This window comes from Homo sapiens, chromosome 16, assembly GCF_000001405.40.
Source record: "Homo sapiens chromosome 16, GRCh38.p14 Primary Assembly".
In the NCBI taxonomy this organism is placed as follows: domain Eukaryota; kingdom Metazoa; phylum Chordata; class Mammalia; order Primates; family Hominidae; genus Homo; species Homo sapiens.
In genome coordinates this window covers 36,182,351-36,197,531 of record NC_000016.10, presented here as the reverse complement: position 1 = coordinate 36,197,531, position 15,181 = coordinate 36,182,351, and positions in this window count along the sequence as shown.

Here is a 15,181-nt window from a genome sequence, read left to right as displayed (position 1 = left end):
AAATGGAATCACATGGAAACATCGAATGGCATCTAATAGAATCATCATTCCATGGAAATGAATGGAATCATCACGGAATGGAATCAAAATGAATCATCATCGAATGGAATCCAATGGGATCACTGAATTGAATGGAATGATCATCCAATGGAATCGAAGGGAATCATTGAATGGAATCAAATGGAATCCTCGAAAGGAATTGAAAGGAATCATTGAATAGATTCGAATGGAATCATCATGGAATGGAATCGAATGGAATCATCAAATGGATTCAAATGGAATCATCATCGAATGGAATCGAATGGAATCATCGAATGGACACGAATCGAATCATTATTGAATGGCATCAAATGGTATCATCGAATGGACTTGAATGGAATCATCATCGAATGGAATCTAAAGGAATCATCGAATGGAATCACATGAAATCATCATCGAATGCATTGGGATGGAATCATCAAATTGACGCAAATGGAATCATCATTGAATGGAATCAAATGGAATCTTTGAATGGACTCGATTGAAGTCATCATTGAATGCAAACAAATGGAATCTTCATCAAATGGAATCGAATGGAATCATCATCGAATGAAATCGAATAGAATCATCCAATGGAGTAGATTTGAATCACCATCAAATGGAATCGAATAGAATCATCAAATGAAATCTAATGGAATCATCATTGAAAGGAATCAAATGCAATCATCATCGAATGGAATTGAATGGAATCATCATCGAAAGGAACCGAATAAAAACATCATCAAATGGAATCAAGTGAAATCATCATCGAATGGAATCGAACGGTATCATCCAATGTAATATAATTGAAAAATCATCTAATGAAATCAAATAGAATCTTCGAATGAAATCAAATGGAACCAACGTAGAATGGAATTGAATGGAATCATCATCGAATGGAATGGAATGGAATCACCGAATGGAATGCAATGTAATCATCATTCAACTGAACCCAATGGAATCATTAAATGGACTCGAATAGAATCATCGAATGGACTCAAATGGAATAATCATCGAATGGAATAGAATGGAATCATCAAATGCAGTCGAATGGAATCATCATCGAGTGTACTCGGTTGGAATCATCATTGAATGGAATCGAATGGAATCATCGAATGCAATCGAATGGAATCATCATCGAATGTACTCGAATGGAAACATCATCAAACAGAATAGAATGGAATCATTGAATGGACTCAAATGGAATCAGCATCGAATGGAATTGAAAGGAATCATCAAGGGGACTTCAATGGAATCATTCAATGGACTCGAATGGAATCATCATCGAATGGAATCATCGAATGGTCACGAAAGGAAGAATCATCGAACGGAATCGAATGGAATCATGGAATGGAATCGAATGGAATCATCATTGAATTGAATCTAATGGAATCATCATCGTATGGAATCAAATGGAATCATCAACGAATGGAATTGAATGGAGAAATTGAATGGAACCTGTTGGAAACATCAACGAATGCAACCGAAATCAGTCGTCAGGAAATGGAATCAAATGGTATCATCATTGAATGGAATCAAATCCAATCATCATTGAATGGAATTGAAACGAATCATCATGGAATAGAATCGAATGGAATCATCAAATGGAATGGAATGGAATCATCATCGAAAGGATTCGAAGGGAATCATCGAATGGAATCAAATGGAATCATCAAATGGAATTGAATGGAATCATCATCGAATCGACTCGAATGGCATTATCGTCAAATGGAATGCAATGGAATCATCCAATGGACTCGAATGGAATAATCGAATGCATTCCAATGGAATCATCAAATGGAATTGAATGGAATCATCGAATGGATTCTAATGGAATCATCATCAAATGGAAATGGATGGAATCAACAAAGGGCCCCAAATGGAATGATCAAATGGACTCGAATGGAATCATCGTCGAATGGAATCAAATGGAATCATCGAATGGACTTAAATGAATCATCATCAAATGGAATCGAATGGGATCATCATCAAATGGAACTGAATGGGGTCATGATCAAAAGGAATCCAATGGAATCACCGAATGGTCTCGAATGTAATGATCAAATGGACTCGAATGGAATCATATAATGGAATCGAATGGAATTATCGAATGGACTCGAATGGAGTCATTGATGTAGTCTAATGGAATCATCATCAAATGGAATCGAATGGAATCATCAAATGGACTCAAATGGAATCATAGAATGGACTCGAATGAAATCAATGAATGGACATGAATGGAATCATCATCAAATGGAATCGAATGGAATCCTTGAATAGAATCAAATGGAATCATCAAATAGAATTGAAGGGAATCATCATCAAATGAAAATGAATGGAATCATTGAATGGAATCGAAGGTAATCGTCATCAAATGGAATCAAATGGAATCATTGAATGGAATTGAATGGAATCACCAATGAGTGGAATCAAATGGAATCATCATGGAATGGAATCGAATGGAATCATCGAATGGACTCGAATGGAATCATCATCGAATGGAATCGTGTGGAATCATCTAATGGGCACAAATAGAATCATCATCAAATGTAATCAAATGGAATCATCTAATGTACTCGAATGGAATCATCATTGAATTGAATTGAATTGAATCGTCATCTTATGGAATCGAATGGAATCATCCTTTAATCGAATCGAATGGAATCGTCAACGAATGGAATCAAATGGAGAAATTGAATGGAACCCGTTGGACACACCAATAAATGCAACCGAATGCAGTAGTCAGCAAATGGAATCGAACGATATCATCATTCAATGGAATCGAATCCAATCATCATCGAATGGAGTAGAAACGAATCATCATGGAATAGAATCGAATGGAATCATCGAATGGAATCGAATGGAATCATCATCGAATGGACTCGAATGGAATTATCATCAAATGGAATGGAATTGAATCATCCAATGGACTCGAATGGAACAATCGAATGCATTCCACTGGAATCTTCAAATGGAATCAAATGGAATCATTGAATGGAATCGAATGGAATCATCATCAAATGGAATCAGATGGAATTAACGTAGAGTCTCAAATGGAATCATCAAATGGACACGAATGGAATCATCGTCGAATGAAATCAAATGGAATCATCGAATAGACTTAAATGAATCATCATTGAATGCATTCGAATGGAATCTTCATCAAATGGAATTAAATGGGGTCATGATCAAAAAGAATCCAATGGAATCACCGAATGGTCTCGAATATAATGATCAAATGGACTCGAATGGAATCATAAGAAGGAATCGAATGGAATCATCGAATGGACTCAAATGGAATTATCGAATGGACTTGAATGGAGTCATCGAATGGACTCTAATGGATCAAATGGAATTAAATGGAATCATCAAATGCACTCGAATGGAATCATAGAATGTACTCGAATGAAATCAACGAATGGACACGAATGGAATCATTATTGAATGGAATCGAATGGAATCCTTGAATAGAATCAAATGGAATCATCAAATGGAATCGAACGGAACCATCATCGAATGGAATAGAATGGAATCATCGAATGGAATCGAAGGCAAACATCATTGAATGGAATCAAATGGAATCATTGAATGGAATCGAATGGAATCACCAATGAGTGGAATTGAAGGGAATTATCACGGAATGGAATCTAATGGAATAATCGAATGAACACGAATGGAATCATAATCGAATGGAATCGCGTGGAATCATCTAATGGGCACGAACAGAATCATCATCGAATGGAATCGAATGCAATCATCTAATGTACTCGAATGGAATTATCATTGAATGGTATTGAATGGAATTGAATGGAATCATTGAATGGACTCGAATGGAATCATCATCATATGGAATACAGTGGAATCATCGAATGGACTCAAATATAATCATCAGAGTATGAAATCAAATGGAATTATCAAAAGGACTAGAATGGAATCATCATCGAATATAATCAAAAGCAATCATGAAATCGATTCGGACAAAATCATCGAATGGACCCAAATGAAATCATCATCGAATGGAATCATCATCAAATGGAATCAAATGGAATCATCGAATGCATTCGAATGAAATCATCATCGAATGGAATCATCGAATGGAATCGAATGGAATCATCATCGAATGGAATCGAATGGAATCATCATCGAATGGAATCGAATGGAATCATCATCGAATGGAATCGAATGGAATCATCATCGAATGGAATCAAATGGAATCACTGAATGGACTCGAATGGAATCATCATCAAATGGAATCGAATGGAATCATCTAATGGATTCAAAAGGAACCATGATCAAATGAAATCGAATGGAATCACTGAATGGACATGAATGAAATCATCATCAAATAAAATCGAATGTAATCATCAATTGGACTCGAATTGAATATCATCGAATGGAATCAACAGCAATCATCGAAGGGACTCAAAAGGAATTATCAAATGGACTTGAATGGAATCATCGAATGGACTCGAATGGAATCATAATCAAATGGACTCAAATGCAATGATCGAATGGACTCGAATGGAATCATCGATTGGACTCAAATGGAATTATCGAATGGGCTCGAAAGGAATCATCGAATGGACTCGAATGGAATCATTATTGAATGGAATCAAATGGAATCATCGAATGGAATTGAATGGAATCAACGAATGGAATCGATCAGAATCATCATCGAATGGAATCAAATAGAATCATCGAATGGAATTGAACGCAGTCATCATCCAAGTGAATTGAATGGAATCATCATTGAATAGGATCGAATGGAATCATCAAATTGAATTGAATGGAATCATCTTCGAATGTAATAGAATGGAATGATCAAATGGAATCAACTGGAATCATCGAATGGAATTGAAAGGAATCAGCATTGAACGAAATTTAATGGGATCATCATCAAATAGAATCGAATGGAGTCATTGAATGGAATCATCATCAAATGGAGTCTAATGGAATCATCAAATGGACTCGAATGGAATCATCAAATGGACTCGGATGGTATCATCAACTGGACACGAATCCAATCATCAACGAATGGAAACAAATGAAATCATCATCGGATGGATTGGATTGGAATCATCATTGAATGGAATCGAATGGAATCATCGAATGGAATCAGATGGAGTCATCATTGAATGGAATCTAATAGAAGCTTTGAATGAAATCGAATGGAATCATCTACGAATGGACTCGAATGGAATCATCTTCAAATGGAATCGAATGGAATCATCATCGAATGGAATCAAATGGAAACATCATCGAATTGAATCAAAGAGAATCATCATGGAATTGAATCGAATGGCTTATTGTCGAATCAAATTGAATGGAATCATCATCATATAGAATTGAATGGAATCATTGAATGGAATCGAATGGAATCATCATCGAATGGAATCGAATGAAATCATCAACGAATGGCATCCAATGTAATCATCATAGAATTGAAATCAATTGGTTCATTAAATGAACTCGAATGGAATCATCGAATGGACTGGAATGGAATCATCATCGAATGAAATAGAATGCAATCACTGAATGGAATTGAATGGAATCATCATCGAATGAAGTAGAATGCAATCATCAAATGGAATTGAATGGAGTCTTCATCGAATGAAATCAATGGCAATGATCGAATGGACCCGAATGGAATCATCATCAAATGGAATTGAATGGAATCATCATATGGACTCGAATGGAATCATCATCAAATGGAATCAAAAGGAAACATCGAATGGACTTGAATGGAATCATTGAATGGACTCGAATGGAATCATCATGGAATGGAATCGAATGGAATAATTGAATGGACACGAATGGAATCATCATCAAATGGAATCAAATGGAATCTTCGAATGAAATTGAATGGAATCATCATCGATTGAAATCGAATGGAATCATCACCGAATGGAGTCGAATGGAATCATCATTGAATGGAATCGATAGGAAACATCATCGAAGGGAATTGAATGGAAATATCATCTAATGGAATCGATAGGAATCATCAACAAATTCAATTAAATGGAGAAATCAAATGGGATTCGTTGAAATCATCAACGAATTGAAGCAAATGCAGTCATGATCAACTGGAATTGAATGGAATCATCATCGAATGGAATCAAAAGGAATAATCATCAAATCAAATAGAATGGTATCATCGAATGGAATAGAATGGAATCATCATTGAAAGAAATCGAAGGGAATCATCAAATGGAATCGAACAGAATCATCTAATGGAATCAAATGGAATAATCATCGAATGGAATTGAATGGAGTCATCGAATAGACTCCAATGGAATAATCAAGTGGACTCGAATGGAATCATCAAATGGAATCGAATGGAATAATCGATTGGACTCGAACAGAATCATCATCAAATGGTATCAGATGGAATCAATGAAGGGACTCGATTGGAATCATCGAATGGACACGAATGGAATCATCATCGAATGGACACGAATGGAATCATCGAATGGAATCGAAAGGAATCATCATGGAATGGAATCTAATGGAATCATGATTGAATGGGATCGAATGGAATCATCATCGAATGGAATTGAATATAATCATCATTGAATGGAATCGAATGGAATCATCAATGAATGGAGTCGAATGGAGTCATCGAATGGAGTCTTTGGAATCATCATCGAATGGAACTGAATGCAGTCAGCATCGAATGGAATCAAATGGTATCATCAAATGGACTCGATTGGATCATAATTGCATGGAATCAAATGGAATCATCTAATCGACTCGAATGGAGTTATCTTTCAGAGGAATCGAATGGAATCATGGAATGCGCTCGAATGGAATCATCATCGAATGGAATCGAAAGGAATCATCAAATGGACTTGAATGGAATCATTGAATGTACTCGAATGAAATCATCATCGAATGGAATCGAATGGAATCATCGAATGGACCCTAATGGAATCACCATTGAATGGAATCGAATGGAATCATCAAATGGAATCGAATGGAATCATCATTGAATGGAATTGAATGGAATCTTTGAATGGAATCGAATGGAATCATCATCGAATGGATTCTAATGGAATCATCATTTAATGGAAACGAATGGAATCATCAACGAATGAAATCAAATGGAGAAATCGAATGGAATCCATTGGAATCATCATCAGATGGAACCGAATGCAGTCATCATCGAATAGAATCGAATGGAGTCATCAAATGGATTATAATGGAATCATCATCAAATGGAATTGAATGGAATCATCGAATGGACTCGAGTGGAATGACCATCAAATGGAATCGAATGGAATCATCGAATGGACACAAGTGGAATCATCGTTGAATGAAATCGAATGGAATCATCGAATGGCATCCAGCAGAATCATGATTAAATGGAATCTAATGGCATCATTGAATGGACTCGAATGGAATCATCGAGTGGGCTTGAGTGGAATCATCATGGAATGGAATCGAATGTATACATCGAATGGACTCGAATGGAATCATAATCGAATGGAATCGAATGTATACATTGAATGGACTCGAATGGAATCATAATCGAATGGAATTGAATTAAATCACAATCACATGGAATCGAATGGAGTCATCATCAAATGGATTCGAATGGAATCATAATTTAATAGAATCGAATGGAATCACCGAATTGAAACAAATGGAATGATCATCGAATGGAATAGAAGGGATTCATCGAATGCAATTGAACAGAGTCATCGAATGGAGCCGTGTGGAATCATTTAATGGATACGAATGGAATCAACATTGAATGGAATCGAATGGAATCATCAAATGGAATCAAATGTAATCTTCATCGGATGGAAGCGAATGGAATCATCACTGAATGGACTCAAATGAAATCATCGAATGGAGTCAGATGGAATCATCATCGATTGGAATCGAATAGAAGCATCAAATGAAATGGAATGGAATCATCAATGAACGGACTCGTATGGACTCATCATCACATGGACTTGAATGGAATCAATGGAATCATCATCAAATGGAATTGAATGGAAACATCATGGAATTGAATCAAATGGAATCATCATGGAATTGATTCGAATGCCTGATCATCGAATGGAATTGAATGGAAACGTCATCGAATGGAATCAAATGGAATCATCAAATATAATCGAATGGAATCATCATCGAATGGAATCGAATGTATCCAATGAAAGAAATCGAATGGAATAGTCATCGAATGGAGTTGAATGGAATTATCGAATGGACTTGAATTGAATCATCAAATGGAATCTAGGGGAATCATCATCGAATGGAATCAAATGGAATCATCAAATGGACTCGAATGGCATCATTGAATTGACTGGAATGAAATCATCGAATGGACTCTAATGGAATCCTCATTGAATGGAATCGGATGGAATCCTTGGATAGAATCAAATGGAAACATCAAATGGAATCGAACGGAATCATCATTGAATGGAATCTAATGGAATCTTTGAATGGAATCGAAAGCAATCATCATCGAATGGAATCAGATGGAATCATCGAATGGAATGAAATGGAATCATCATCAAGTGGAATCAAGTGGAATCATAGAATGGAATCAAATGGAATCATTGTCTAATCGAATGGAATGGAATCAATGAATCGAAATGAATGGAATCACCAATGAATGGAATGGAATGCAATCATCATCTAATGGAATCAAATGGAATTGTCGAATGAACTGGAATGGACTCATCATCGACTTGAATCATGTGAAATCATCTAATGGGCACGAATTGAATCAACATCAAATGGAATCGAATGGAATCATCTAATGTACTCTCATGAAATCAACATTGAATGGAATAGAATGCAATCATGGAATGGAATCAAAAGAATCATCATCATATGGAATTGCATGGAATCATTGAATGGACTCGAATGTATTCATTAGAGAATGGAATCAAATGGAATCATCCAATGGACTCGAATGGAATCATCATCGAATGGAATCAAATGGAATCATCGAATGGAGTCGAATGGAATCATCATCAAATATAAACAAAAGCCATCATCAAGTGGATTCGAATAGAATCTTTGAATGGACTCGAATGGAATCATCATTGAATGGAATCTAATGGTATCATCGAATGAACTCGAAGGGAATCCTCAACAAGTGGTATCGAATGGTATCATCGAATGGAATCAAATAGAATCATCTTCAATTGGCATCGAAAGGAATCACCAAATGGACTTGAATGGAATAATCATTGAAAGGAATCAGATGGAATTATCAAATCAAATCGAATGGAATAATCATCGAATGGAATTGAATGGAATCATTGAATGGACTCGAAAAGAATCATCATCGTATTGAATTGAATGGAATCATTGAATTGAATAAAAAGGAATCATCATCGAATGGAATCAAATGGAATCATCATGGAATGGAATCAAAAAGAATCATCACAAAATGGAGTACAATGGAATCATCATCGAATGGAATCAAATTGAATCTCGAATGCCCTGGAATGGAATCATCATCAAATGGAATCAAATGGAAACATCAAATGGACTCGTATGGAATCTTCATCGAATGGAATCAAATGGACTCATCGAATGGACTTCAATGGAATCATTGAATGGACTCAAATGGAATCTTCGAATGGACTCGATTGGAATCATCATTGAATGGTATCGAATAGAATAATTGAATTTACTCGAATGGAATAATCATCAAATGGAATCACATGGAATCATCATTGGATTTAAAGGAATGGAATCATCATCGAATGGAATGGAATGATTCATCGAATGGAATCAGATGGAATCATCATTGAATGGAATCGAATAGAATCTTCGAATGAAATCGAATGGAATCATCATCAAATGGACTCGAATGGAACCATCATTGAATGGACTCAAATGGAATCATCATCCAATGGAATCAAATGGAATCAACATCTAATGGAATTGAATGGAAACATTGAATGGAATCGAATGAAATCATCACCGAATGGAATCGAATGGAATCATCGAATGGACCCTAATGGAATCATTATCGAATGGAATCAGATGGAATCATCAAATGGACTTGAATGGAGTCATCAAATGGACTCAAATGGAATCATTATTGAATGGAATCGAATGGAATCATTGGAAGGTCTCGAATGGAATCATAATTGAACGGAATTAAATGGAATCATTGAATGGAATTGAATGGAATCATCATCAAAAGGAATCAAATAGAATCAGCATCAAATAGAATCGAATGCAATCATCATCAAATGGAATCAAATGGAATTTTCATCAAATGGGATCGAATGGAATCATCATGGATTATAATCAGATGGGATCATCTAATGAAAGAGGAAGGAATCATCATCAAAAAGAATCAAAATAAAACAAAGAATGGAATCCATCGGAATCATCGAATGGAATCATATGGAACCATCATTGAATGGATTCGAATGGAGTCATTACCGAATGGAATTAAATGGAATCATTTAATGGACTTGAAAGGAATCTTTGGACTCGAATGGGATCATCGAATGGAATCGAATGGAATCATCATCGAATGAAATAAAATGGAATCATCGAATGGAATCGAATGGAATCATCATCGAATGAAATAACATGGAATCATCGAATGGACTCGAATGAAATCATCGTCGAATGGAATCGAATGAAATCATGGAATGCACTCGAATGGATTCATAGAATGCACTCCAATGGAATCAACATCGAGTGTAATAGAAAGGAAACATCGAATGGAATTGAATGGAATCATCAAATGGAATCATCATCGAATGGAATCGAATGGAACCATCGAATGGACTCAAATGGAATCATCATCGAATGGAATCAAAAGGAATCATCGAATAGAATTGAATGGAATCATCAATGAAAGGAATTGAATGGAATAATCATGGAATGGAGTCGAATGTAATTATCATCGAATGGAATCGAATGGAAACATCATCGAATGGAATCGAATGGAATCATCAATGAATGGAATCAAATGGGAACATCATTGGATGGAATCGAATGGAGTCATCAAATGGAGTCCATTGGAATCATCATCGAATGGAACCAAATGCAGTCATCAATGAATGAAATCAAATGGAATCATCGAAAGGACTTGATGGAATCATCATCGCATGGAATCGAATGGAATCATCGAATGGACTCGAATGCAATCATCGAATGGACTCCATCGTAATCATCATCGAATGGAATTGAATGGACTCATCGCATGGACTCGAATTGAAGTATCATCGAGTGGAATCGAGTGGAATCAAATGGAATCATTGAATGCACTCTAATGGAATCACCATCGAATGAAATCTAATGGAATCATCGAATGGAGTCAAGTGGCATCATCATTGAATGGAATTAAGCGGAATCGTCATTGAATGGAATTGAATGGAATCATCATCGAATGGAATCTAATGGAATCATCATCTAATGGAAACGAATGGAATCATCAACGAATGGAATCAAATGAAGAAATAGAATGGAATCCGTTGGAATCATCAAATGGAACCGAATGCAGTCATCATCGAATGGAATCTAATGGAATCATCAAATGAATGAGAATGGAATCATCACCGAGTGGAATTGAATGGAATCATCGAATGAATTCGAATGGAATGACCATCAAATGAAATAGAATGGAATCATCGAATGTACATGAATGGAACCATCGTTGAATGGATTTGAATGGAATCATTGAATGACATTGAATGGAATAATCTTCTAATGGAATCTAATGAAATCATCGAATGGACTCAAATGGAATCATCAAATGGAATTGAGTGGAATCATCATCGAATGGAATCAAATGAAATCATTGAATGGACTCAAATGGAATCATCATCAAATGGAATCGAATATAATCATAATCATATGAAATCGAATGGAATCATCATCTATAGGATTCGATTGGAACAATCATTGAATAGAATCGAATGGAATCAACGGATTGAATCAAATGGAAGGATCATGAAATGGAATCAAAGGGAATCATTGAATGGGATCGAATGGAGTCATTGAATGGAATCCAGTTGAATCATCGAATGGATTCGAATGGAATAATCATTGAATGGAATCGAATGGAATCATTGAATGGACTCAAATGGAATCGTCATCAAATGGACTCAAATGGAATCGTCATCAAATGGAATTGAATGGAATCATTGAATGGACACGAATGCAATCATCTTTGAATGGACTCGAATGGAATCATCAAATGCAGTCGAATGTAATCATCATCGAATGGAATCATCGAAAAGCATCGAATGGAATCATCATCAAATGGAGTCGAATGGAATCATCGAAAGGACACGAATGGAATAATCATGGAATGTAATCGAACGGAATCTTCGAATGGACTCGAATGGAATAATCATTGAATTCAATCGAATGGAATCATCATCGAATGGAATTGAATGGAACCATCGAATGGAATAGAACTGAATCACCATCGAATGGAATCAAATACAACCACTGAATGAAATCGAATGGAAACACCTTCGAATGGAATCGAATGCAATCATCAACGAATGGAATCGAATGGAAACGTAGAATGGAATCCAAAGTAATCGTCATCGAATTGAACCCAATGTAATTATTAAATGGACTCGAATGGAATCATCGAATGGACTCGAATGGAATCATCATCGAATGGAATAGAAAGGAATCATTGAATGCAATCTAAGGGAATCATCACCGAATGAAATCAAAGGGAATTATCGAATGGACTCGAATGGAATCATCATTGAATGGAATCGAATGGAATCATTGAATGGACTCGAATGGAATCATCATGGAATGGATTTGAAAGGAAACATCAAATGGATTTGAATGGAATCACTGAATGTTCTTGATTGGAGTCATCATCGAATGGAAACAAATGGAATAATCGAATGGACAAAAATGGAATCGCCGTCAAATGGAAACGAATGGAAGCATTGAATGGAATCGAATGGAATCATCACTGAATGGAATGGAATGGAATCGTCATTGAATGAAATCGAATGGAATCATCATCGAATGGAATCAAATGGAATCATCATGTACTAGAATCTAATGGAATCATCAATGAATGGAATTGAGCGGAGAAATCGAATGGAATCCGTTGGAATCATCATGAATGGAATCAAATGCAGTCATCATCAAATGGAATCGAATGGAATCATCATCGAATGGAATTGAAAGGAATCATCAGCAAATGGAATCAAAAGGAATCATTATGGAATAGAATCGAATGGAATCATCAAATGGAATGGAATGGAATCATCAAGGAATGGAATCAAAGGGAATCATCGAATGTAATTGAACGGAATCATCTAACAGAATCAAATGGAATCATCATTGAATGGACTTGAATGGAATTATCATCGAATGGAATCAAATGGAATCATCGAATGGACTCGAATGGAATAATCAAACGAACTCCAATGGAATCATCAAATGGAATCGAATGGAATCATTGAATGGACTCGAATGGAATCATCATCAAATGGAATTGGATGGAATCAATGAAGGGACTCGAAAGGAATCATCGAATTGACACGAATGGAATCATCATTGAATGGAATCTAATGGAATCACTGAATGGACTCGAATGTAATGATGAAATGGATGCGAATGGAATAATCAAATGGAATCGAATGGAATCACTGAATGGACTCGAATGGAGTCATCGAACGGACTCTAATGGAATCATCATCAAATGGAATCGTCAGGAATCCTCGAATAGAATCAAATGGAATCATCAAATGGAATCGAACTGTATCATCATCTAATGGAATTGAATGAAATCATCAAACAGAATTGAAGGCAATCATCATCTAATGGAATCAAGTGGAATCATCAAATGGAATCGAAGGGAATCATCATCAAGTGGAATCGAGTGGAATCTTCGAATGGAATCAAATGGAATCTTTGTCAAATGGAATCAAATGAAATCAGTGGATTGAATTGAATAGAATCACCAATGAATGGAATCGAATGGAATCATCATTGAATGGAATCGAATGGAATCATATAATGGACTTGAAAGGAATCATCATCGAATGAAATCAAATGGAATAACCGAAGGGACACGAGTGGAATCATCATGGAATAGAATCAAAATTAATCATCAAATGGACTGGAATGGAATATCGTCGAATGGAATCAAAAGCAATTATCGAATGGACTCAAATGGAATTATCGAATGGACTCGAATGGAATGATCAAATGGACAAGAATTGAAACATGAATTGGAATTACATTGATTTATTGAATGGGCTCGACTGGAATCATTGAATGGAGTTGAAAGGAATCATTATTGAATTGAATCAAATGGAATCATCGAATGGAATTGAATGGAATCATCAAATGGAATCGATCAGAATCATCATTGAATGGAATCAAATGGAATCATTGAACTGAATCGAATGCAGTCATCATCGAATGGAATCGAATGGAATCATCATCGAATGGAATCGAATGGAATCATCAAATGGCATCGAATGGAAACATCATTGAATGGAATCTAATGTAATAATCGTTTGGACTCAAACGGAATGGTCGAATGAACTCGAATGGAATCATCATCGAATGAAATCGAATAGAATCATTGAATAGCATTGAATGGAATCATCATCGAATGGAGTCAAATGGAATCATCGAATCACTCGAACGGAATCGTCATGGAATGTAATTGAATGGCATCTTTGAATGGACACGAATGGAATCATCATGAAATGCAATTGAATGGAATCACCACCGAATGGAATCAAATGGAATCATCATCGAATGGAATCCTCTTCGCATGGAATCTAATTGAATCATCATCAAATTGAATCTAATGGAATCATCATCGAATGGAAACGAAAGTAATCATCATCTAATGGAATTGAATGCAGTAATCATTGAATGACATCGAATGGAATCATCATCGAGTGGAATATAATGGAATCAATGAATGAAATTGAATGGCATCATCATCGAGTGGAATCGAATGGAATCACCCAATGGAATTGAATGACATCTTCATCGAGTGCAATCCAATAGAATCATCAAATGAAATTGAATGGAATCGTCATCGAATGGAATCAAATGGAATCATCATTGAATGGAATCAAATGGAATCGTCATCGAATGGAATGTAGTCGAATCATCATCGAATGGAATCGAATGGAAAAACCAGCAACTGGAATCGAATGGGATCATTGAA